The sequence below is a fragment of the Homo sapiens genome, chromosome 2 (assembly GCF_000001405.40).
Source record: "Homo sapiens chromosome 2, GRCh38.p14 Primary Assembly".
Classification (NCBI taxonomy): Eukaryota; Metazoa; Chordata; class Mammalia; order Primates; family Hominidae; genus Homo; species Homo sapiens.
This window is the reverse complement of record NC_000002.12, coordinates 206,286,531-206,314,526: the sequence shown is the minus strand read 5'-3', so window position 1 is coordinate 206,314,526 and position 27,996 is coordinate 206,286,531. Positions and strand designations below refer to the sequence as shown.

General features: G+C 37.3%; 1 protein-coding gene across 14 annotated transcripts in view; it reads right to left on the bottom strand.

The window, feature by feature from the left end:
- Positions 100-27,996, bottom strand: part of ZDBF2 (zinc finger DBF-type containing 2) — a 39,765-nt gene continuing 11,868 nt past the window's right edge. For 10 of the 14 annotated variants that reach the window (XM_047445282.1, NM_001369654.1, XM_011511532.4 and 7 more), the window contains 2 exons: positions 17,154-17,281; positions 100-9,810 (listed from right to left, as the gene is read on the bottom strand). In XM_047445282.1, coding sequence (XP_047301238.1) covers positions 2,934-9,810; positions 17,154-17,281 — 7,005 coding nt within the window. In that variant the 3' untranslated portion in view covers positions 100-2,933. Of the gene's footprint in view, positions 9,811-17,153; positions 17,282-22,410; positions 22,517-27,996 lie in introns of all 14 variants that reach the window. The other 4 variants (XM_047445300.1, NM_001285549.2, XM_017004573.3 and 1 more) reach the window with 3 other exon arrangements.

Genomic DNA, 27,996 nt, shown 5'->3' with positions numbered 1-27,996 from the left:
ACATTTACATTCTCTCATTTATTATCTCTCAGGCCATTATTCTCTTATTCTTCAAGTATTCCCAGAAAAAGTTTCTAACATGAAGAGAGAACAGACAAATTTCAAGGTTTAATAAATTTTATCTTGATAACATCAAAAACAAGTTTAGCTTTTACACTGCAATATAAAAAATACATTAGTCTTCACATTAGTTTTACATGGAAATATATAATTATTTGAATATTTAAATATAGCTTTTCTTTAACCAAAAAAAAAAAAAAAAAGTGTTACTCACAGCCCTAGTTACATAAATAATTTAAATGCACAAATGCAAAAACACACTTCACACGATATTGTTCACATACTGTAGAACTCAGGACAATTACAATAAAAATCTACGCAAAATACTGAACAAGAACAAGATTAAAATACTCATTATGGTCGTAATTTGACTTTTTACTATTAAAAGAATTTAATGCATTCTTGAACACACAAAAACATCAATTGTTTTATCTATTCTGCAAATTAAGCCAACATTTATTTAGACAAAGGGGCACATCTTGTATACTACCAAATTCTGAAAGTAATTTCCAATTTAATTTAAATTATAAGTTTCAACAATTTCAAGTTTTCAAGCTTGTCTAAAATAATGATTACAAGAACTTAGTAAACAAAACATTTCAAAAACTTTAAACAAAATCATCAGTACTGCACTGTACTTTTATGTCTGGTAATATAAAATTTAAATATAAACCTTCTCCCTGCCCCCAATGAAAATGGTACTTAGAAGGGCTTCCAATGTGAAAATGGTAACATTTTTACAACTTGAAATTTTAATTACTTGAATTACAGGAACTGTTCTCTCTGCATGATGTAATCACGATATGACACATCATAGGTACATAGTACACATTTTCATTTGATCTCTTGCTTTTAAACTTACACTGAAAGACTGTAGAATGTCTATTAATAATATTTAAGGGAACTATGTGTCTATTCCATAGGGAAAAAAGACACCAATACCCACAAATATCTTATATATCAGCTGTTTGTTTACTTCCTAGTCAGTAGGACAAAGCTTTGTTCCTAAATTAAAATTGGAGGATTATTTTGAACTACTGGCCCAGTGATCTTTTAAGAAATGAAAATATATTTGTGTATGAGGAGGCAAGGTTGAAGGAAATGAGATATATGCTGCTTTGCAACTAAAGACAAAAACATTTGTTTTTAAACATAATTACTATTTAAATTTAGAAGTAAAGAAATCACAAAAGAACTCCATCATAGCATACACACAGGTTAAATAATGGCCCCTGAAATAAAACCACATTTAGAAACCAACTGTTACACTATATTTCATTATTTCTAAGGTAACACATTTTAAATTCTGAAATCAAGATATGGTTCAACATTGACCTTAGTTTCAATAAAATATGGCAGTCATACAATATAGTTGTAATTCATGTTTCCTCTTAACATTAATGATAGAAGATCCAGGATCTTGGCTTAACACGAATGAATGACAACTGAATGCATCTGTACCAACTCAACCAGTGTCCCTGAATAAAGGTTCTGGATCTATTCTGAGTATCCCAGACTCAAACTGCATCTCGTTAACATCTTTCATTTGAACTGTTAAAATCTGTTAACAAATAGTTAAAGACAAACTAATGTATAAATACAGGTTTCCACTTGCAAAATGGGCCTCCACAAAGATTACCAGTTTTATTCAATTTTTTGAAATATTAAGTAATTTTCTAATGAGAATTAATGGCCTGCCCAAATATTACCAAGCCAATAATTTCAGTTCAAGTTATTAAAAACTGATATGGTAGGCTGGGCATGGTGGCTCATGACTGTAATCCCAGCACTTTGGGAGGCTGAGGCGGGTGGACCACAAGGTCAGGAGTTTGAGACCAGCCTGGCCAACATAGTGAAACCCCCAACTCTACTAAAAATACAAAAATTAGCCGGGCATGGTGGCGCACGCCTGTAGTCCCAGCTACTCGAGAGGCTTAGGCAGGAGAATTGCTTGAACCCGGGAGGTGGAGGTTGCGGTGAGCTAAGTTCAGGCCACTGCACTCCAGCCTGGGCAAGACAGTGAGACTCTGTCTCAAAAAATAATAATAATAAATAAACATAAAAATAAAAACTGATATGGTAATGCCTAAAATATTTTTAGGGGATAAGGCCACAAAATAACCTGGATTTTCATATTAAGCCACCAACTCTTCATGTAGAAGAGAGTAAAGGTGGTTAAAAAAAAGGGGGGGAATGCCTAAACACATGGGCAAAATTATTTTCCCCTTTAAGATCTAATAAGGCTAACCCAAAAAACCTAGAGACTGTATGTGTGCATGTGTCCAAATGATAAAAGTTAGAGACTTGCAGATCCAATTTAAATGAAGCAGGAGGAGTTTGTGCTATGCATAAAAAAAATCACCAGTTTTTAAAAACTGTATTAAAGATTATGGAATCTCATTTTCTGGAATGCTTTAAAAAGAAAGAAAACTTATATTTTGTTTGTATTCATTTAAGTCAACCCCATTCAAAAGTTGACATAATTCATTATAATTCCTTCTTTTTAATAAGTTTGCTATATTCATTCTCACAATGTTAAATTTGCTGGCATGAGAGAGATAATCATAAAAAATAAGAGGGATATGATTTGAGGAACAAAATTCTATATACGGTGCTAAATTATTTTGTGACATAAATTAAGATGAAGTTCTTCTACAGAAAATGTTGGACAAAGGCTGTTTCTGAATCTTAAAATGAAAGGACTCTAAACACTAATTTTAAATGAATATAAAAATTCTGAAAAATAATATTTATAGCAAAATAGTTCAAGATTAGTTTTCTCACCAAAGCTGGGAAAGCTGTGTGCACAAAGTACCAAATATATTTCAACTGAAGTACTGAATCCTCAACTAGCCTGAACACAAAACCAACTTCTATTTTACCTCATTACCTCTCAGTTTGTTTGCTAGCCGAGTCATCATTCTCTCACGTTGTTGTAAACAAGATGAGCTTCTCAGATCATATGCTCTCACAGGTGTAGAAGGACCTTTCTGTCGGCCATGGTAGCTTTCATCAGTCTTCTTCCTCCTTCTTGCAACGCGGCAAGAAGCCCGCACAGGTCGCTTTGGAGGAGGATTTGCCATAGCGCTTGACAGCTCTTCGGCACCAGCTGGTGGAACTGAAGAGTTCAAAAGCACTTTAGCTGTTCTCTTCGCCTTCTTTAGCCTACTGACAACAGATTTTTTCTTCTTCAGATACCTTCCAAGAAAAGCGCTCCTGGACTGATATCTATGACGTAAAAAGACAGAGTATTTCGAAATATACTTTCTAATGATATCACTTGGTTTGGTCCGAATCCAAATTGACTGTTTCTCTGAAGCTTTTCTGGGTTTTTGCTGGAGAATAATTGGTTTATAAACCTTTTTGGGAAAACCTAGCTTATTACTACTAGTTGTCACCCTCTTTCCATGAATTTTCTTTTTACTTTGACTTTCCAAAAGCTTATTTCTAACTGATTTTGGAGAGATTTTGACAACATCATGATTTAAAAATGTTAGCTGGAAATTTCTTTTCTTTGGAAGCTCACGAGCATGCAGAACCTTTGATTCTTCCAGAAACAGAGAAGAGTCACTGGTTCCCTGATGTGAATTAAATCCATATCTTGCCGGCACTGCCATTAAAGGCGCTGAAGCAGAGCCTTGTCCATCAGCATCATTATCTCCTGCACTGGAGTTTTGGTTGCTCCTATTAAAATGAATTTTAACCCAGTTACGCCTCTCAAACTCTGGTACTATTACACTCAGGGGAGGACTAATTACAATTTGCTTAATCAAGGGCTCATAATAATCAAAGATATTCCGTTTATATTTGCATATAAACCGAATATCATTATCCCAACTATGGTGCCTCATTTTAGGGAAAGGAAGGCCTTCACCCTCTTTCAGTTTAATATTTAAAGAAGAAAGAACACAGACTAAGGCTTTGGGTTGCATAGGCTTCAAAACTTTAGTACATGATGCAGGAAATTCAACTGTCCCAATTTTGACTTTCTTTTTGGTTTTTCTGTCATCCTGTAAACGTGAACACTTACTTTTTGGTGGGTCTTCCTCTTGTCTAATTATTTTTCTTTTCATCACTGGGTAATTCTTACAACTGGTCTGAGTACTATGGCTGATTTTCGCTGTCTGGCATTGAGAAGCCACACGCCCCTTTTGCTTAGGAGGCCTCTCTGCTGGAGGATGACGATGGCATGGTTTATCTAAGGCCACTGACAAGTCATCAATATCTGAAATACCACAGACAATATCATCACTCTCTGACACAGCTTGAGTTGGTGCAGTGTCCTCCTTACCTTGCAAGTCAGCCCAGGTAACCTTTTTTTTCCCCTTCGAAGAAACTTTTTTGGTCTCACAGTCATCATCAAAGTAACAGTGGAAACGACCTTCCCTAAACTCCTTCACCAGAGCATTAATTTTTATGTCATCTTCTCTCATTATCTGAGACCATGTTTTCCCCACAAATGAAGGAGGTACATGAGGCAAGGCTTCAAGAACTGGTTCATCAGGATTATCCTCTATGACATCCTTTGCTTTTTTCAGGTTCCTTACAGAATCAACCTTGAGAACAGAGCTTGACTGGGAATCATGGTTCTTTTCTTTCAAGTCAGAAGATACCTTCTTACAAGGGTGTCTTTTCTTAACAGTTTCTTGAGGCTGATCAGTATCAGATGGAAGAGGGGGAGCACACTGAAAATTCATCTCAAAACCATCCGGTTCACAGCTCACTTCTAGATCTCTATGTTTTAGCTTCGAACGTTTTTTTTTATCAGCCCTTCGATGGAGCGCTGACTTGGAAGAGGCACCAAAATCCACTGCAGAAGCACTAGACTGACAGCTCTTACCTTTTAGGCCAGCATTTCTTGGATCCTTCCGAAGACTGGCTTCTTTGTGAGCTTTCTGCAGTCGGTGAGTCGTTCGATGAGAAGTGTCTTCCAAATTAAATTTTCCTTTAGAACCATTATATCCACAGCTCTTATCTTCTGAATCAATATATTTCACCATTTTCTCATCAGGTCCTTGTGACTCGTAAGTCATGGACTGATCAGAGGCATCAACATTAAAATTCATTTCAGAACCACAAGATTGACAACTTGGCTCTCCCAGAATAATATAGTCCTTCTTCCGGTTTATTATTTTGAAAGTCTCTTTGCATTGGTTTGTCATTGAGGGAGTAGAGGCTTTACAATTACATCTGACTTCAGAACCAAAAAAGTCACAGCTCTTATCTTCTATATCAATACATTCTGTATTTATACAGCTGATATCTTTGACAGTCAACTGAGGTGGGTCAGTCACTAACTGAAGGGGAATATCATCTGAAATTACTTCATAATCACTATCACCGGGCACCAGATCCACAAGTACCACCTTTGGAAGGTGGGTTTCTTTGACTGATCCTGGAAATTGGTTAACTACTATTTGAAAAGGAACATCAGAATCATACATCATTTCTGAATCACTAGGTTGATCGGTCTTTTCTTCCATGACAACATGCTCTTCCTTCTGAAGGTCTGCCTCTTTGTAAGACACTTGAGGTTGGTCAACTTCTGACTGAAGATGAACACAAGAATGACATTTTATTTCAGAACCACAGACTTCACAGTTCTTATTTTCTAGATCATTATGATCCTTCTTTTGCAAGTTTATTTCTTTGACAGGTACAGAAGATTGATCAGTCACAAACTGAACAGGAATATGAGAAGCATAACTTACATCAAAATCACCTAATTTATAGCTCTTATCTTCCAGGTAAATATGGTCTTCCTTCCAAAGATTTATTTCTTTGACAGGTTTTTGAAGCTCATCTGCTGCTGCCTGAAAAGAGTCATTGGAATCAGAACTTTCTTCAGGACTATAAGAATTACTGCTCTTATCTTCCAGACTGGCATGCTCCTCTTCCAAAATGTGTGGTTGTTTTATCACTGACTGAAGAGGGATATTTGAAACATAAATTATTTCAGAATCACTGGGCACATAGCCCTTATCATCCAGACAAACATGTTCCTCCCTCAAAAGATTTATTTCTTTATTCGCCCCTGGAATTTTATTAGTTACGGACTGAAGGGGTTCATGAGAATCAAAATTTATTCTGGAATCTGTAGGTTTGACAATCTTATTTTCCAAGTCAACATGCTCTTTCCAAAGACTGACCTCCTTAACTACTTCTTCAGGTTGGCCAGCCACTGGCTGAAGAACATCAGAATCATACATAATTTCAAAACCCTTAGCTTCATTTCTCCTATCTTCCGTGTCAACTTCTTCATCCTTCCAAAGGCTTATTTCTTTAACGGTTTCTCTCAGCCGGTCAGCCACTGACTGAAGAGGGTCATCAGAATCAAAACTTACTTCAGAACCACAACATTGATTGTGCTTACCTTCTAGTTCAATGTGCTCCTGCTCCAAAATAGTTATTTGAGGTCGATTGACTATTGACTGACCCAAGAAACCAGAATCCAAATTCATTTCTGAACAACTATATTGGCTGTTCTTAACTTCCAAGTACATATGGTTTTCATTCCCAAGGTTCACATGTTTAATAGCTACTTTGGGTTGATCAGCCACAGATTGGACAGAAACATCAGGATGATGTATTAATTTATAAGTACTAGGTTCATTAATCTTATTTTTCAGGCCAATAACCTCTTCCTTCCATTGGTCTATTTTTTTAACCGCTTCCTGAAGTTGTTCAGAATCAAAAGTTATTTTAGAATCACCTGATTTACTGTTTTTGTCCTTCAGATTAACATGTTTTTCCTTCAAAAAAGCTAGTTGAGGTTGGTCAGTCATTGACTGAGGTGGAACATTAGAATCCAAAATTATTTCAGAACCACTACATTTATCATTCTTGTTTTCTAGAACATATTGCTTCTTTCTGTTTATTTTGTTAACAGCTACTTGAGGTTCAGTTACTGAATAATGAGGGACACCAGAATCTAAACTTGTTTTTGAACCACTGAATTCAGTACTTCTACCTTGGAATTCAGCGTGCTTTTCTCTTTGAAGCCATGTTTCTTTGACAATTACTTCAGGTTTGTGAGTCGCTGCCTGAAGAGGGACATCAGAATCCAAACTTGTTTCAAAAACACTCTTATTTTCTAAGTACATGTGCTCTTTTGTGTGAAGGCTTATTTCTTTAATGGGATCTTCAGAACGTCCAGTCACTGAATGAAAAATGATATTATAATCCAAACTTACTTCAGAATCAATAGGTTCATTTTCCTTATTTTCTAAGTGTACCTGCTCTTCTTTTTGAGGATTTAGCTTTTTAACAGCTACTTCGGGAGAATTAGTCACTGAATGAAGAGGGGCATGGGAATCCGAACTTATTTCAGAACCACTGGGTTCATCATTCTTCCTTTCTAAGTGAATGTACTCTTCTTTCTGAATTACTTCTTTAACAGCTACTTCAGGGTGATCATTTCCTGAATGAAGAGGAATATCAGAATCAAAAGTTATTTCAGAGACACAAGATTCATTACTTTTACTTTCCAGATCAACAGTTTCTTCCTCATAAACAGCTACTTCAGGTTGGTCAATTACTGAATAAAGAGGAATATCAGAATCAAAAGTTATTTCAGAACTATCTGACTCACAGCTCTCATCTTCCAGGTCAATGTGCCGTTCTTTTCCTTCAGCATCCAGATGAGACTGCTCAGTAACTGACAGAAGAGGCGGGTCAGAATCAAAAGTCAACTCAGAGCTGGAGCAATCATAGCTCCTAACTTCCATGTCAATATTTAACTCTTTAAGATTTACTTCATCCAAAGCTTCTTGAGGCTCATCATGAGCTGAATGATAAAGAGAAGCCGGAGAATCAGAACTCAGAGAAGAACGGCTAGACTGAACACTCTTATTCTCAAGGTCAACATCCACTTTCTGACGCTCTATTTCGGCTACTTGAGACTGGTCAGCTAATTGAGCATCAGCCTGAAAACCCATTTCAGGACCATGGGATTCACAGTTCATATCCATAAGGTCAGCATTCTTCTCCTTCAGAAGATTTATCTTTTCAACAGCCCTCTGGGATTCATCTGCAACTGTCCCAAGTGAGACATCACAATCAAGATGTGCTTTAGCACTACTGGGTTTACGCTTCTTATGTTTTAGGTGGACTTGTCTACCTTTCAGGTTTCTTCCTTTGACAGTCAGTTGGGGATGATCAACTACTGACTCAAGAGAAACATCACAATCAAAACTTGTTTCAGAACAACTCGATCCATAGTTATCAACCAAGCTGGTATGAGCCTTCTTCCGAAGTTTTGTTTCTGTGACAGCCACTGGGGGTCTGTCAACCACTGACTGCAGTGGGAAAACAGAATCAGCACTTACTTCAGAGCTACTGGAACCATAGTTCTTATCAACCAAACCAATGTGCACTTCCTTAGGAAGGTTTACTTCTGTTACAGATTGTTGGGGGTAGTCACTAGTGGACTGAGGTGAAGCATCACAATCAAAATTCGTTTCAGAACTACTAGATTCATAGCTTTGGTCAACCAGGCTAATATGCCTTGCATTCTGAAGACTTATTTCTTTAACAATCATTTGGGATTGGTTGGTAACCAAGTGAAGAATGTCATCACAATCAGAACTTATTTTAGAAACATAAGATTTATTATTCTTATACTGTACATCAGTACGTACTTCCTTGGAAAGGTTTACTTCTTTGGCACTCACTTTAGATTGGTCAGTCAGTGAATGAAAAGAGGAACTGCAATCAAAACTCATTTCTGAACCTCTAGACTCATAGTTATCTTCTTGGTCAATTTGCTCCTCCTTCCAAAGACTTAAGTCTTGTGCAGTCTCTTGGGGCTGATCAGATGCTGACTGAAGAGAGATACAATCAAACTTCATTTCAGAACTCACTGAGCACTTCTGTTCCCAAAAGGCTGTCTTGTTAAAAACCAAATGCTTTTCTTCTTGGGTACAATCCATGTTAGAAAAGAATTCCTCATGGTTCTTTGCAATAGTATCTTCAAAGATTCCTTTATTAGAAGGCATGTCAGTTTTATTCGGGTTTACTGCTAATTTGGAAGGAGATTTAACTCTTAAGGAGCCCTTAGTACCCATGCGTTCATGGAATTTCAAGCCAGCTGATAAAGTTTTACCCTGAGATTTTACATCTTTCCACAAAACCAACTTATCTGAATTCATGCGTAAAGATTTCCTATTTGATTCTTTATGTTTCTGATACGAAAATGAAGTAGTTTCTACATGGGATGATGGCACAGGATTTCTAGAGGCCCCATCTGGCTGTTCAAGATATTTCTCAACTTTGTTTGGGTCACATTTGCTAACTGAATCCAAATGAGCTGCTGGTGGTAAACTAGTTGTATTAGCTGTAACTGGTCTATCGTTAGAGCTTTCAGGTAAACAACTAGCAGGAGCATTACAAATCACTGGGGGGCGTACCAAGTTGCTTCTATTATTTGTAGCCTGACCAATATCTACTAGGTTACATTTTCTCACACTGGCCCCAATTTTATGAACAAACTCCAAGGGCTGCTGCTGTCCCTTCTCCAGTTTTTGAATAACTGATGGTCGAACTGAAACCTCCTGCGTGCCTTCCTGAGATTTATGAGGTCTGGAATGTAACTCTTCAATAGGTTCTGAAACCTCGGATGGTCTCTCTTCGGTAGCATCCTCATCCTCAACCTTATCCTCATCCTCTTCCTCTTCTTCAGAAAAAGCATCATCCAAATGCACCACTTCAGACGATGACCCAGTATTCACATGTGTCTCATCTTGTGTTGAACTAAAACGAAAGGGGGGAAACTCATAAACATATTCTAATGTCTGTTTAAAATATTAAAATAGAGGCATAATAAATGTTATTTGCTTTCTGTTCTGGACTATCCTTAAAGGACAAGGAATCCAGGCAGTCACCCCAGGCTGAACACTGCATGGACCACAGAGGGGGAATTACTGCAGAAGGTGGAGGTGGCTCCACCAATTGCTACTTAAATACAAATGGCCCCTAAACATGAAAAACTAAACAAATAAAATCATATATTATTTTTCAGTTATCAGAGTAGTAAATAGCAAAAAGTTTGACATATGTTACTTAACTTTGTATGCTTCAGTTTCTGCCTCCAAAAAAAGGGAATCTTACACTATTTTCCCTCATGAGATTGTTTTGATGAGTAAATTAATTGTTACATGTAAAGAGCATTAAAACAAAGAAACAGCTTGGCACACAGTAAGCATTCACAAATGTTAGCTATTATTATCTTAACACATTGTTTTGGTGCGGGTGTAAGGACAAAGGCACTTTAATACATTGTTCATAGGAATATAGATCAGTTAACAGTTACTGGTTAACCTCTATGTAGATTTGTAACCTCTACAAACAGCAATTTGGCAATGTCTATTAAAATTAAGAATGTACATACCCTTTGACCTCTAATTCCACTTTTGGTTTTCTCATGTGTTTAATGAACACGTACAAGAATAGTTACTGCTACTTTTGAGCGGAGGGAGGGGTAATAGCAAATGACTAGAATCAACCTGAATACTCAGTAACTGGGTACTGGTTAAATAATTAATGGTATTTAATGGAATACAATGTGGTTTTTAAAAATAATAAAGCGGCTCTATATATACAAATAAAAACCAATTACTATAAACATTGTTAGTGAAAAGCAAGGGTACACAGAAAGCTACCATTTATGTAAAATAGAAGGGAAAAAAATAATGCACTTAGAATATCTGGAGAATGGCACATACAACTGTAGAAGTCTAGAGGTGTCAAGTGTTACCTCTAGGGAAGTGACTACAGGATGGCAGCAATTTAAGAAGACTTACTTTTGAACGTGCACTGTGAATTATGTCTATGTATATGTATTTCCCATTCAAAATTTAAATTCCATTATTTTTAAAAAGACCCAAAACTTTCATATCTAAAATCAGTCTATGAATCTCTTCTACCAGTATCAAGACAACATGTTTGACCAAAGCATTTCAGGGACTGTTCTTTCATGTACATAAAACCAACTGACCTAATGATATTGCCATGGCCTGAATTCTTAAAGTCGGGCAAACATTCATTCATGTAACAACCATCTACTAAGGACTTACTACTGCATTACAGGCACTATGCTAGGTACTAAGGCAAATTCAAAAAAAGTTAAGCTGCCTTTTAAAGACCATTCAAGTAGCTGCAGAAGGCAGACACATAAAAAATAATAACAATTCAAAGAGATAAGTATCATCACATCTAGACCTGTTTAAAAAAAAAAAAAAAAAGATTAAACTGTCACAGCCAAGAGGGACCTAAAGAGACATTACAAGTTAATGTAATGTGGTATCCTGGATGTGATTCTGAAACAGAAAAAGTAGTAAAACTAAGGAAATCTTAGTTTAAGAAAACTTAGTTTAAGTAGAAACTAAGAAGTCTGAATAAACCATGGACTGTACTAATATCAGTTCATTACTTATAACAAATATATCACATTAATGTTAATAATAGAGAAATTGTGTGAGAGAGTATTATAGGCACACTCTGTACTATTTCCTCATTGTTTCCATTAATCTAAAACTGTTTGTTTATAAAAATAGCCTATAACAATTAAAAATAAACACCTAAAAATTTATTGAATTTTTCCAATTTGAGATGTCATTTGTCTAAGAGAACATGCATACATGTGTCAGCCATATGCAATTTCATTTTAGCCTAAGTATTACTATCCCATATAAATTTATTACCTTAATATTAATTTTGAATTTAGAAAATAAAGTTAACCCTGCATCAAAAGTATTGTGATGCAGCAAAAAACAATTCTAATTTTTCATACTTCTCAACAATGACACTGCAGTGCAACAATCACTTCACTCTAGTTTTTCAGAACCCTAAACTATCTTCATTTGTCTTAAGGACTATCACAACATTCTCAAAATAAAACCAATTGTGCAATATGTAGCTAAGAAAAGAAAGAAAAGGGAAAAAAGAAAAGAAGGTATAATCATAAAATCATACAGCTGGTAAAATCCCAAGAAGGTCATGAACTGCCATCTGGATGCTTTGATCTGCATCTGTATTTGTGTGTGTATAATATGCTTAACAATTAAATCATAATCCACATTTAACTCATCATTTGTAACCACACAACAACAAAAAAAGCTCTCTAAAAATCTAACCATTAAAGATTAAAAACCACTCTTTTGGCCAGGTGTGGTGGTTCATGCCTGTAATCCCCCCACTTTGGAAGACTCAAGTGAGAGGATCACTTGAGGCCAAGAGTTTGAGACCAGCCTTGGCAACATAATGAGATCCTGTTTCTACAAAAAATTTAAAAAATAAGCCAGGCATGGTGGTACATGTCTATAGTCCCAGATACTCAAGAGGCTGAAGCAGGAGGATCACTTGAGCCCAGGACTTTGAGACTACAGTGAGCTATAATCACACCCTGCACTCCAGCCTGGGCCACAGAGTGAGACCTACAAACGAACAAAAAACAGCTAAACTCTTGAGCTAAAAAGAAAAACTCTTGAGCTAAAAAAAAAAAACATTTTTTAAATTATCTAAAAGAAATAAAAACTATGAGATATGGCCAAAATAAAAACATCATATTTTTAAATACTTCCATTAAGAAAAGAATTCATAAATACAACTGGGCACCCAATTTAAGACGAAAAAGATAACAACCAAATTGCCCCCATAAAAAGGTAGACGAAATACATGAAGAAAAGGAAAAAATTAATGAAGATGAAACAAAAATAAAGCAAGAACTGATTTTCAGGAGAGCTAAAATAGAAAAATTTACAATGTCTAGACAAGGGGGAAACAGAAAGGAAATGTTTTAAAATCATAAATCCTATAAGTTAGAAAGTTTATACATACATAATAAAATAATGTACTATTGGCATGGGATTTTTTTTAAATCAAGGAAACAAAATGGTATTCAAAATGAGATATACACACACACATATACACAAATACAAGAACTCGGGTTATGACACAGGTGGTGACATTTTATATCAGCAAGGATAATTAGAGATACAAGAAGTCCTGCCTCACACCACATATAAAAACAAACTCCAAGATGGTTATAAATATTTAAAAGAAAAAACAAAGGCATGAAGAAAAAGGCATAAAAGAAGCCATAAAGAAAAATTCTCCTTACATCTGATTAAATCAAAAATTTTAATTTCTGTATAATAAAGAATAACATATACAGTTAAAAGACAAACAATTAGGTTCTGAAAAAAATCTGTAACACATTTAAAATACAAAGGATATTACTCATACTCAAATATTTCTTACAAAGCCAAAATATACAAAGAACTCCATAGAAAAATGGGCAAAGTATATTAACAAACATATCATAGAATAAAATATGGCCAATCAGTATACAAAAAAGTTCTACCTGAAAATAGATAATATGGGATTATCAGTATGTATATCTACACATTTTTGGCCTATTAGGTTGGGAGGGAAAAAAGAAGCTGATAATCCCAGTGTTAGCAACAGTGACAGGAAACGAGCATTCTCTTATGCTGCTGGTGTGAGTATAAATTGGTATAGCCTTCTAGGAAGTGTCTAGCAAGGACTTCAAATGTTCATACACAATTTGAGCAACAAAATAAATAATAAATAGTAACAAATTAAAACCCATAGAATAAAGGAAATATCCATGAGTCTATAATGATATAAATAAGTATTAAATACTTGAATAAGTGAAAGAACAAGTGAAGATCTCCTTTATGGTAGAATTTTGATCAAAGAATCATTAATGGTTGCATAAAATCAGTGGGCAAAAGTAAGATAAGAAACAAGGTATTTACATAGTCTCAAAGTTCTTCCCCATACGATCCTTATTAATTAGGAAAAACAGTAACTTCACAGTGGAGTAACTTGGCAGACAGTAGTACCTTAATCAAGTGGCTCAAGCTAACATCACCCAAAATGACACGGCAACATTATGTGTCTCCTGATGCTACACACTGAGAAGGGCACATCGATTCTAAGATATTCACGCCCAAAATGCATAACCGAAGTTTAATCATAAGAAAATATCAGGCAGACACAAATTGAAGGCTATCCTATAAATTAACTGGCCAGTACTCTATAAATAAAGTATCATGGTCTTAAAAACAAAGACAAACTGAGGAACTATTTAAGATAAAGGAAAACTAAGGAGATGCTGACAACGAAATGCAACGTGTGATTGTGGACTGGTTCCTGGTCCAAGAAATGGACATGAGTTAAGACAACCAACAAAATTTAAACAAGGTCTACAGATTAGCTGTTAGTATGGTATCAATGTAATTTCTTGGTTTTTGGTTTTTGTGTTTTTAAAACTGGCTCCCTCTGAGCAGGGTTCAGGGAATTTTTTGCTTTGGGTTTGTTTGTTTGTTTGTTTTGAGACCAAGTTTCGCTCTTGTTGCCCAGGCTGGAGTGCAATGGCACAATCTCAGCTCACCGCAACCTCCGCCTCCAGGGTTCAAGCAATTCTCCTGCCTCAGCCTCCCTACTAGCTGGGATTACAGGCATGCACCACCATGCCCGGCTAATTTTTTGTATTTTTAGTAAAGGCAGGGTTTCTCCATGTTGGTCAGGCTGGTCTCAAACTCCCGACCTCAGGTGATCCGCCCGCCTCGGCCTCCCAAAGTGGTAGGATTACAGGCGTGAGCCACTGCGTCCAGCTTGGGGCTTGTTTTTTTTTTTAGAGGCCAAGACAGGCCTCACTATGTTGCCCAGGCCGGATGCATCTATTCACGGGCGGGGGGGAGGTCAAAGTACACTGCAGCCTCCAACTCCTGTAGTCAAGTGATCCTCCTACTGCATTTGTAGTTTCCTAGTTTTTATCATTGTACTGTGGTTTTTTAAAATCTTTTTTTAAGAAGGAGTCTAGCTCTGTCACCCAGGCTGGAGTGCAGTTCAAGGAATTCTTCTGCCTCAGCCTCCCGAGTAGCTGGGACTACGGGTGTGTGCCAACATGCCTAGCTAATTTTTGTATTTTTAGTAGAGACAGGGGTTTCACCATGTTGGCCAGGCTGGTCTTGAACTCCTGACCTCAAGCCATCAGCCCACCTTGGCCTCCCAAAGTGCTGGGATTACAGGCGTGAGCCACCGCACCTGGCCCTCTGTGGTTATTTTGGATTTAATATTTGAGAAAGCCAGGGGAAGGTGATCCAAGAATTTCTTGTACCAGTTTTACAACATTTTTGTTAGCCTGAAATTATTCCAGAAAGGAAAGATAAAAAATAAAAATAAAAAATTTTTAAGGTCCGTAAACTCTGACCCAGAACTTCAAATTCTAGCAAGCTATACCATAGAAATAGTTGCATGTGGCCGGGCGTGTTGGCTCACGCCTGTAATCCCAGCACTTTGGGAGGGCGAGGCAGGCAGATTACCTGAGGTCGGGAGTTCGAGACCAGCCTGGCCAACATGGTGAAACCCTGTCTCTACTAAAAATACAAAAATTAGCCAGGCATGGTGGCATATGCCTGTAATCCCAGCCACTCGAGAGGCTGAGGCAGGAGAATTGCTTGAGCCTCGGAGATGGAGGTTGCAGTGAGCCAAGATTGTGCCATAGCACTACAGCCTGGCCAACAGACCGAGACTCTGTCTCAAAAAAAAAAGAAAAAAAAAATTCATGTAAAAACATGTTTGCTGAAGCACTGCTTATGAGAGTTATACATTGGAGCTGGGCACGGTGACTCATTCCTGTAATCCCAGTACTTTGGGAAGCCAAGGTGGGCAGATCACTTGGGGTCAGGAGTTCAAGACCAGCCTGGCCAACATGGCAAAACCCAGTCTCTACTAAATATACAAAACAATTAGCCAGGCATGGTGACGGGTGCCTGTAATCCCAGCTACTTGGGAGGCTAAGGCAGGGAGAATTGCTTGAACCAGGGAGGTGGGGGTTGCAGTGAGTTGAGATCATGTCACTGCAGTCCAGCCTGGGTGACACAGCAAGACTCCGTCTCAAAAAACAAAAACAAAAACAAAAAAAACCTGGAAATTTATACTGACCCCAGGATAGGCTAATTCTATCTTCCCACCAGCTAAGAAACCATCTTGTTTTCCTCTAACTTTTCCCCATTAAAATATTTTTGCCATTTCTAAGGTCTATGTTAGTGATTTGCAAGGCAAAGAAGTTTATCCCTTTTTCTACTAACTGGTGCACATCTCAGTTAACTGCACAGATGTGCTAATGATCGATTTTTACCTTATCTTGTACAGCGGGAGCTACAAACATATTATAATATTTAATCTGATTTTCTACCAATGTTTTTCTTTAACATAGGGCATTAACTCTTAAATGTTATCAAAATAATTATTTTTATTAAAAACAACTAAAACAAATGGATACAAGAAAAGCTATCAAAATACAGACAGATTTAAAAACCCAATTCTTTTGGCTACCTCTTTTCCTCAGAATTAGCAAAGAGTTCTATTAATGTGGATTTGACTCAGTTTTGACTTGATTGTCCTTACTCTGCTATTGTCACCAGTTTTTCTGTTGCTAACCTTTTAAAAACCATTTTGCCAGGTGTGGTAGCTCACGCCTGTAATCTCAGCACTTTGGGAGGCCAAGGCGGGTGGATCACCTGAGGTCGGGAATTCGAGACCAGCCTGACCAACATGGCGAAACCTCAACTCTAATAAAAATACAAAAAATTAGCCAGGCGTGGTGACACATGCCTGTAATCCCAGCTACTCGGGAGGCTGAGGCAGGAGAATCGCTTGAACCTGGGTGGTGGAGGTTGCGGTGAGCTGAGATCGTGCCATTGCTCTCTACCCTGGGCAACAAGAGCGAAACTCCATCTCAAAAACAAACAAACAAAAAAAACTATCTCTTCCTCCTTTTCCCCCTGCTTAATCCTATAACATACTTATAAAACATCTTAATGATATATAATTATTAGCCTAAGACTTTTATTTAGAAAAAAACATAGTGTAGTCCATATCTTCTGTAGTGAAATTTCTTACTTCAGCTAAGAAAAATTTTAAATTGCAAATGAAAGTTACTAAAATTTTACTTTATATTCCTTGACTCAAAGATTCACTTAAAGTATTGATTGGGACATGAACACAAACACCTACTGTAACATATAACTACGTATAAATATTATTCCAATCAACTACTTTACCTGCTCTCTTGACAATGATATGGGTGGTGCTGCAGTACATCCTGTAAGAAACGTTCCATCAAACTACTGGTACATATTTGACGTCTACTCTGTCTGGTCAAACTCCTGTGCTGAGCACTGAACAAATGCTATAAAGAAAAAAGAAATGGAATATTTTTAAATGGACAGTATTCAGTAGTGAGAGTTCGACAAAATGGATTCATTTCTATACTCTTGGTAAAATTATGAATTGAAAGCTTTTCTATAAAGCAATTCTGAAATTTGCATCTAAAAACCATAAAACTACTTTCCCTTAGGTAAAATAATGAGATTTCCCTAAGTACAGCCTAAGGAAATAGTCTTAAAGGTAAATGATTCATGCAAAAAAGATGCCATTATCATAGCATAACAAAAAACTGGAAACCTCCTAAGTTTCTAACAGTAAAAGACTTCAATTATAATAGGCTCTAAGATGTAATACTATGCAGCTATCTAAAATAATACAAAGAATTTTAAGTAACATGGGAAACGTTACATATTAAGAAAAAATGAGTGTGGTAGTGTGGCCGAGTGGTCTAAGGTGCTGGATTTAGAAAATTTTTAATAACATGGGGAAACGTTACATATTAAGAAAAAATGAGTGTGGTGTGGCCGAGCAGTCTATGGCGCTGGATTTAGAAAAAAATGAGGAATGCAAAAACCACACGTATGGTTTCATGTCAAACTACAGTTTAAAAACATACAGACAAGTAAATGGAAGAAATTACAGTAGTCCCCTATTATCCGCAGGGAATTTGTTCCAAGACCCCCAGTGGATGCCTGAAACGGTGGATAGTACCAAACCTATATATGTTTTTCCTTACATACCTATGATAAAGATTAATTTATAAACTACACACAGTAAGGGATTAATGACAATAACTGATAATGAAATAAAACAATTATAACAATATACTGTAATAAAAGTAAAATAAGGGTTACTTGAACACAAGCACTGTGATATCCAACAGTTGATCTAATAACCAAGACAGCTACTGAGTGACTAATGGGCAGACAGCAGGAATACGCTGGACAAATGGATGATTCATGTCCTGAGTGGGACAATGAGTGGCAGCGAAGGATTTCATCAAGCTACTCAGAATAACATGCAATTTATTTGCCCATTTATTTCTGGAATTTTCCATTTAATATTTTCGAGCCACATCTGGCTGTAACTGAAACCAACCACAGATAAGGGGGGACTAGTGTACACCAAACCTTACTAGTACAGATATCAGTGTGGTGCAGTTATGGGTAATTTTTCAATTTTTCTTATAAATTCTTATATTTTTCAATGAGTAAATGTTTTTTAAAATGAAAATCTGTTAAGAGAGAGAACAGGGTTGGATTATTGTATTAAAAGAGGTCAAAGATTGACAAAAAAGGTACCTTTATTTTCTTTCAGAAATTAAAAATCCCAACTTAAACACAAAATTAAAATAAATACACTAAATTTTTCAGTCTTGTAACTCTCTCTACAGTTAGAAAGATTCTTTCTTTACTAATATTATTTAGTGGAGTAGCAAGCAGAATGGGAAAAAGTCTACCTATGGGGCACCTATGATGTACCAAACACAGTGCTATTCCATTTACACAGTAATCTTCATTGACTTTTCACTGAGTAAGAATATCGTCCCCATTTAGCACGAAAAGACTAAGGCACAAAAAATTAGAGTAAACTGGGCTGGGCGCAGTGGCTCAGGCCTGTAATCCCAGCACTTTGGGAGTCTACAGTGGGCAGATCACCTGAGGTCAGGAGTTTAAGACCAGCCTGGCCAACAAGACGAAACCCTGTCTCTACTAAAAAATAAAAAAATAAAAATTACCCAGGCATGGTGGTGCTGCGCGCCTGTAGTCCTAGCTACTTGGGAGGCTGAGGCAGGAGAATTGCTTGAACCCTGGAGGCGGAGGTTGCAGTAAGCCGAGACTGCATCACTGCACTCCAACCTGGGTGACAGAGTGAGGCTCTGTCTCAAAAAAAAAAAAAAAAAAGAAAAGAAAAGAAAAAAAAAGAATTAGAGTAAACTGCCCAAAGTTTTATAATGAGCAAACAGCAAGGCCAGGATTTGAATCTAACTCTGAAGCTTATCCTCTTTCATTGTATTATGCTAGCAAATAGCAAATGGCATATTTCTAACATGTTATTTATAATTTAATAGTGCATTTTAATTTAACAATACTTAGAAAAGACATTTTAAAATATCACGGTAAAGGTGTTAAAGAACTTAAATCAGGTTGCTAGCTCCTGACCACTGTGTTACAACTCTTGGAATTATTTTCTTCCATGTTGACTTCAGAGGTCCATGCTAGTGCTCCTAGCCCCAGGAACAATCTAAATTATGATGCTTTCAAAATCCTGCTACGAAACTCTCCACTGTCCAGGACCCATCACCAGAGTTAGACTGCCTGGTGATTAAAGGGGACAAATGCACAAGGAAACAAATAAATATTCAGTTAAAATTCAACGTTACTGAATAAAGAATATGTGGTACATATACATCATGGAATACTACACAGCCATAAAAAATGAGATCATGTCATTTGCAGCAACATGGATACAGCTGGAGGCCATCATCCTAAGCAAATTTACACAGGAACAGAAAACCAAATACCACATATTCTCACTTTTAAGTGGGAGCTAAACATTAGGTACATGTGGACATAAAGATGGGAATAAAAGGCACTGGGAGACACTGGGTCAGGAGAGACAGGGCAGGGGGAAAGGGCTCGAAAAACTACCTATCAGGTACTATGCTCACTAGCTGGGTGATGGGATCATTTGTACCCCAAACCTCAGCATCACACAACATACCCACGTAACAAGCCTGGACATGTGTCCCCCCGAATCTAAAATAAAAGCTGAAATTACAAAAATAAATACTAAAATCCAACCTTGTCCTCTCTCTGCCAAGGCAAAAAGAAAAAAGCAATGTGAATAGAAAACTTCATTTACATCCTATAAGGTATCCGTTCCTTTAGATTTTTTGAATTGATGTATAACATAAAGTACACAAATCATATGCATACAGCTCAATCAACTATCACAAAGTAGACACATCCTTACCATCTATCCATAAAAAGTTGACAAGCATCCAGAAATCCCTGTAATGCCCCATCCCAATCCCTTCCCTTTTCCCCAAAAGTAACTATTACCTAACTTTTAATACTATAGTTTTGAAATTTTCTGAAATGTATATAAATGGAGTCATATAATATGTATGCTATTGCATTCAGCTTATTTTACTCAATATTATATATGTGATATTCATACATATTGGCTGAATCTGTTCATTTTCTTTTCTGCATATTCATTGTATGAATATGCCATATCTTATTTATTCATTCTACTCTTGATGGACATTTGTGTTGTTTCTAGCTTTTGGCTATTACTAATAATACTATGAAGAACCTTCTTGTATGTGTCTTTTGGTGCCAATGTGCATGCATTTTTGTTGAGTGCATTATTAGGAGTGAAACTTCGGGGTCATAAAATTTGCATATGTTCAGCTTTAGTACTCCCTACCGACCAGTCTTCCAAAGTGGCTGTACAAATTTATATTCCCTACCAGCAGTATTCCTATCTCCTTATCAACACTTGCTATTGTCAGTCTCTTTAATTTTAGCTATTGTAAGGATGTTTATTGTTATATCACTGTGGCCTTAATCTGTAATTTTTGCAATAGCTTTTCATATTTACTAGCCATCTGGATATCCTCTTTTACATTGGGTCTGTTCAAGTCTCTCTGTTTTTCAAATGGATGTTCTGTCTCTTCCTTATGGACTTGTAGAAATTCCCTATTCAGGACACCAGTTCTTTGCTCAATTATATGTGTTTCAAGTACCATCTTCCTCTCTGCAGCTTCTTTTCACTTTCTTAATCATCTTCCATTGTTTAACTTTATTGCAGTCCGGTTTTATCTTTTTTTCTTTGTCAGTGCTTTTTGTGGCCAGAAATCTCTCTTTACCATCAAAGTCATAGAGATTTTCTCCTGTTTCTAGAAGCTTTACTATTTTGGCTACAACATGTAGCCAAATCATAGTCTACTTCTAACTGATTTTTATATGCAGGGTGATTCGGCAATAAAGTTTCATTTTCCTCTCCATATGAATATTCAATTGACCCAGTATCATTTATTGAAGAAAGTCCTGTCCTCACTGCTGTGCAGCACCTTTGTCACAAATCAGACATCCATAAATGTGTCTGTTTCTGGAATTCCTGGTTTTTTTCCATGGTCTTTCTAACTCTGCAGCAAAACTGCACTATTTTAAAGACTAAAGACTAAAGTTTCATAAGTTTTAGTATCTGATAGAGGACATCTATTCACTTTGTTCTTAAGATTATCCTAGTTCTTCTGAGCCTTTTACTTTCCCACATTTATTTTTGGAATTGGCTTTTCATTAAAAAAAAATACTTCTCTGAGATTTTGATTGAAATTACATTGGATAAATATAACAATCTAGGCAGAACTGACATGTTTACAATATTGATTCTTCAATCCATGAACATGAAAATTTCTTTCAAGGTTTATAGTTTCTAGTTTAAAGATCTTACATTTTCTTATGTTTATTCCCTAGATTTTGATGTTCTTTGATGCTATTGTAAATGATTTTTTATCTCATTTTCTGCATGGTATCTGTATATAAAAATACACTTTCTTTTTACATTAGTGTAACAACCTTTTAAAATCACTTATTGATTCTAATGGTTTATCTAGATATCTTTTTAGTTTTTATGTCCACCATCATGTTGTGTATAAATAATAGTTTTATTTCTTCTTATCCAATCTTTATCATTTTTATTTTTCTTTCCTTATTTCTTTGACTAGGACCTCTGACAAAATATTGAATACAGTTGTAATTCAAGCATCAAACCTATTTTCACTTAATGTATTACTGATAGAGTTGTATTTAACTTTTTCAATCTGTTACTCTTGCCTATACAACTATCCCTTTTCCTCTCCTTTCTTGTCTTCTTGTGGACTACGTTTCATCATTTCAATTTTTCCTTTTCTGTTAACTCTGTAGTTAGTTACAGACTTTTCATAGTCTATTTTGGTAAGAGATTACAATGAGCAACCCTGAACTGTCAACGCCTAAAATTACTTGTTACTTTTATTCTCTTTATAAACAATGCAAAGTCCTTAGAAATTAACATCATTTACTCCCCTCCCAATTTATATGCCATTGTTGTTCATCCCACAAGACAGTATTCACTTAGATTGATTGCCTACATATTTACCTTTCCACTGTTCTTCATTACTTCCTGTATCTCTGAGCTTCCATCGGGAATCATTTTCCTTCTGCCTGAAGAACTCCTTTTTAGTTTTTCCTTTAGTGAGAGTCTGCTGGTGACAAATTCCCTTAATTTTTATTTCCTGAAAATAGTTTTATTTCACCTTCCTTATTAAAAGATATACGTATTGAGTAGAGAATTCTAGGTGGCAGTTGTTTTCTTTCTTTTGGCTTCCATTGTTTCTGTTAAATACTTCACTAGATATGGGCCCCATATTACTTCACTGCTTTTACAGTTCTCCAAAGCCTTGAAATACAAGGCTGCAAACATTGTCAACAAAATATTATTAATAGCAAACCAAATCCAGCAACATATAAAAAGGATTATACACCATGACCAAGTGGGATTTATCCCACAGATGCAAAATAAGTTTAACATCTGAAAACCAATCAATCTAACTGCTATAGGTTGAACTACATCCCCCCAAAATTCACATGTTAAGGTTCTAACCCCTAATATTTGGAGACAGGGCTTTTAGGAGGTAATTTAGGTTAAATGAAGTCCTAACAGTAGCGACATCTTCAATAGGATTGGCGGCCTTATAAAATAGGAAGAGAAATCGCCGTCTCCCTCTGCTACAGGAGGACACAGTGAGAAGGGCTGTTAGGTATTGGTCTGTGGCCTGCTAGGAACTGGGCCACAGAGCAGGAGGTGAGCGGCAGGCAAGCAAGCGTTTCCACCTGAGCTTCACCTCCTGTCAGATCAGTGGAGGCATTAGATCCTCATAGGAGCGTAAACTCTATTGTGAACTGTGCATGCAAGGGATCTAGGTTGCGTGCTCCTTTTGAGAATCTAATGCCTGATGATCTGAGGTGGAACAGTTAAATCCCAAAACCACCCCTCCACCCCATCTGTGGAAAAATTGTCTTCCACGAAACCAGTCCCTGGTGCCAAAAAGGTTGAGGACCGCTGATTTAAGCTACCTAGTCTATCGTATTTTATTATGGCAGCCTGAGCTGATGAATACTGTAATATATTACATTAATAGACTAAAGGAAAAAAACACATACATCTAATAGTTGCAGAAAAGCATTTGACAAAAGCCTATACCCTTTCATGATTAAACACTTAGCAAATTAGGCTAAAACCCACAACTAACATCAAACTTAATGATGAAAGACTGAAAGTTTTCTCCCAAGATCCAAAAAAAACCAAGGATATCCATTCTCACTACTTTAACACTCATCATACTAGAAATTCTAGCAAGAGCAATTAGGCAAGAAAAAGAAATAATGGCATCCAGATTGGGGAAAAAAGTAGTAAAACTATTTGGAGAGAACATAATGTAGTACATAGAAAATCCTAAGGAATCTACAAAAAAAATTATTAGCATTAATAAACAAGGTCAGCAAGGTTGTATGATACAAGATCAATATTTAAAAATCTATTGAAGCTCTCCATACACTTGCAATAAACAATCCAAAATGAACTTAAGAAAACAATTCCATTTACAATAGCATCAAAAAGAATAAAATGCTTACGAATAAATTTAGCATAAGAAGTGTGAAACTTGCACATTGAAAATTACAAAACACCACTGAAAGATTTTAAAGCTCTGCGTAAATGGAAATACATACCTCTATTCATGGATTGGAAGACTTAATATTAAGATATACATTCCCCATGAATGTATCTACAGATTCAACACAATCCCTATCAGAATTCCAGCTGCTTTTCTGCAGAAACTAACAAAGTGATCTTTAAATTCACATGGAAATACAAGGAACCAAGAATAGCCAAAACAATCTTGAAAAAGAGGAACAAAGTTGGAGGACTCAAATGTCCTGATTCCAAATTTTGCTACAAAGCTACAGTAATCAAGACTATGTGGTGCTGGCATCAGAGAAGATATATAGATAAATAAAATGGAACTGAAAGTCTAGAAGTAAACCTTATATTTATGGTCAACTGATTTTCAACAAGGATGTCAAGGCAATTGAATGTGGAAAGGATAGTCTTCAACAAATGGTGCTGATACTACTGTATATCACATGCAAAAGAATAAACTTGGAAAAAGATGGCCAGCACAATGAACAAACAACTATATTTTAACAAAAACAACTGAAGAAGGGCAATGGAGTGCATCAGAGGAGAAACAGAAACCAGGGTGAGCATAGAACTCAGAATGGCAACACAGAGAGCAGAAGGGAATGCCAGGCCTCCACCACCCCATTCCCAACTGGGATCAGCTGGGAACCAGGAAGAACTTCTCTCTATAGCAAGGAGGCAAGCAAGAGGATCCCAACAACCAACCCCCATTAACACCTTGGACACCTACAGACCTCACCCCTGCAGTCCCCACAGGGACAAAGACCAGCTGAGGGAGCCGTCTGGGGTCAACACCACTGTGTTCCCCTGAGAGAAGAAGCCAATACTGTGCCCTGACCCCTGTGACCCATGTGGCTACACCATCTTGCAAGTGGAACTATGGCTGAAACGTGTTTTGCTCCATTGGCAAGTAGCCATGGCTCCCTTTTGTCCCTGAGGCTAAGCCACTGCTGAATCATCCCAGCCCGGTGGCCTCACATCCCCAGGCCAAGCTACAAACAGTGGTTAAACCCTTCCTCATAGAACCAAGAAGAAGTGAAGCCACTTCACCCACCTCTCCTCTCACCCCATCAGGCTGGAGCTGAAGTGGTACCCTGCCTCCCAGAAAAATAGTACCTCAGCGGCTCAAAGAAGTCATGCGTCCCCAGTGCCTAGGTTGAAGTAGCATCCTGAATTGCAGGAAACTGCCTTACATATTCAGAGTAGTCACACACCCCAATACCTAAGCTGAAGTGGCACCTTGCATCCCAGAGAAATGGCCGCCAGGAACACTCACGCCACTGTCCCCCAACCCCGCCCAAACCTGAACTGAAGCAGCACATTGCCCCCTGGGGAAATAGTGTCCTGGCCAAGCTGAGCAGCTGTGCACCCCAGGGCTGAGTACCTCATGTCCCAGGGAAACAGAGCAGTGGCTACGCTTAGACACCTCATCCTACTAGCCAAACAACTCTAGTACTCTGCTTTCCTAGACCAGACTAGACCCCTAGAGTCTGAGCTGCTGAGACATTCATTTACCTGGGGAATGGAGTCATTGTTGTACTGTTCCCTGCCCTACCCTGGGTCTAAACAACAGCTGTGTATCTGCTGCTGCTGAGTCCCACCATCCCAGTGTCTAGAGTCACTACTACACAATGCCTCATCCCCTGAGACCTAAGTTGCCACTGAGCTCTGAACTGCAGCCACACCCTGCTCCCCAGGATCAAACCTCCAGAGCAACTATTTTTCCCTGGAGTCAGGTCAGTGCTGTGCCCTGCCCTTCAGGGGTAGAATCTCAGCTACGACCTGATGCCCTGGGCCCCAGCTACTAGGGGGTGCCTAAAAGTTACAGGTCCTGGCTCTGTGGGCAACCTACATCCAACCCCACCAAAGAGCAAATCTGTACCCCAAGATCCAAGTGCAACAATAGGTTCATAAGCCTATGAGCCTAGGACCCTGGTCCCACAACCACTCCAAGCACCTGCAACCGGAACACAGTGCTACTAAAGCTGCTTGCTTATAGGCCACGTCACACCTAACACCAAGAGGGATCTACTCAGTTAAGTCTCCCCATCGTAATGAAAACAAGAACAGGTGGATCCCAGAAGCCCTTGACATCAAGGACATTCACAGCCTATGCTGCTGCCACTGCCACAAACTTCTACAGTGTAGGCCACTGAAGTGCCCACAGTTATTGCTGATGGTGAACACAGCTGAAGAAACTGAATGAAGACTATATACCACTGCATCTATCTAGCAACAGAGTAACCACACTCTCCCAACTAGAACATTAAAGCCCAACTGCAGGTAAAAGTTATAAAAGTTATTCAATATGAAAGCCACTCCAGAAAGTATGGAAGAAGTAACTGTTCCACCAGATGCAGAGACATCAATGCAGGGACATAAGAAACATAAAAAAGCAAAGAAATATAACATCACCAAAGGAACATAACTTCCTCATAAAAATAACCCAATGAAAATAAACTAATTTCTGAAAAAGAATTCAAAATAAAGATCTTAAGGAAACTCAATGAGAGACAAGAAAATATATATAGACAATTCAACAAAATCAGAAAAACCATTCACAATATGAACAAAAATTCAACACAGATAAAAATCATAAAAAAGAACCAAACAGAAATCCTACAGCTAAAGAATTCCATGAACAAAATAAAAAATACAATACAGAGATTCAATAGCAGATTTGATAAAATTGAAGAAAGAAATCTCTGAATTTTTAGATCAGTCATTTGAAATTACCCAGTCACAGGGAAAAAAAGAAATAATGAAAAAGAGGTGAAAAAAACCTACAAGACTTATGGGACACCACTGAGTGAACAAATATTTGTGTTATAGGAATCCAGATGGGGAAGACAAGAAGAAAGGCATAGAAAACCTATTTAATGAAATAATAGCCAAAAACTTCCCAAGTCTATGGATATCCAGATATGAGAACCTCAAAGAATCCCAAATACATTCAACCCAAAAAGGTCCTCCTTGAGGCACATTATAAACTGTCAAAGGTCAAAGACCAAAGATGGAATCTGAAAAACAGCAAAAGCATCAAGTCACATATAAGGGAATCATCGTTAGACTAACAGCAGCTTTCTCTGCAGAAACTTTACAGGCCAGCAAAGAATGGGATGATATATTGAAAGTGCTAAAACTACTCCAACAGCCAAACAATACTATACCCAGCAAAGCTATCCTTCAGACATGAGAGAAAAATCAAGTCTTTCCCAGAGAAACAAAAACTGAAGGAATTCATCACCGCTAGGCCAGGCTCACAAGAAATGCTCAAAGGAGTCCTACATCTGGCAAGCAAAAAAGACAATAGTTACTTTCACAAAAACATCCAAAAGTATAAAAACTCACTGGTAGAACAGACATGCAAAGGAGAAAGAGAAAAGACATCCAACCCCACCAAAGAGCAAATCTGTACCCCAAGATCCAGGTGCAACAATAGGTTCATAAGCCTATGAGCCTAGGACCCTGGTCCCACAGCCACTCCAAGCACCTGCAACTGGAACACAGTGCTACTAAAGCTGCTTATAGGCCATGTCAGACCTAACACCAAGAGGGATCTACTACCTACTTACTACAGAAAACCACCAAACTGCAACGATAAGACAGAAAGAAAAAATAAAGCACACATAAAACAACCGGAAAGCAATTAACAAAATAACAGAAGCAATTCCTCGCATATCAATAATCATTTTGAATTTAAATGGATTAAATTCCCCACTTAAAAGATACAGTTGGGCTGAATCGATTTTAAAAATCATGACCTAACAATACACCGCCTACAAGAAACTAACTTCACCTGTAAAGACACATATAGATGGCTGGGAACAATGGCATGCACCTGTAGTCCCTGCTACTAACGAGGCTGAGGCAGAAGGATATCTTGAGCACAGAATTCAAGGCCAGCAAGGACAACATGGTAAGACTCCATCTCTTTTATTTTTTTTTTTTTAAGACACATATAGACTGAAAGCAAAGGGATGG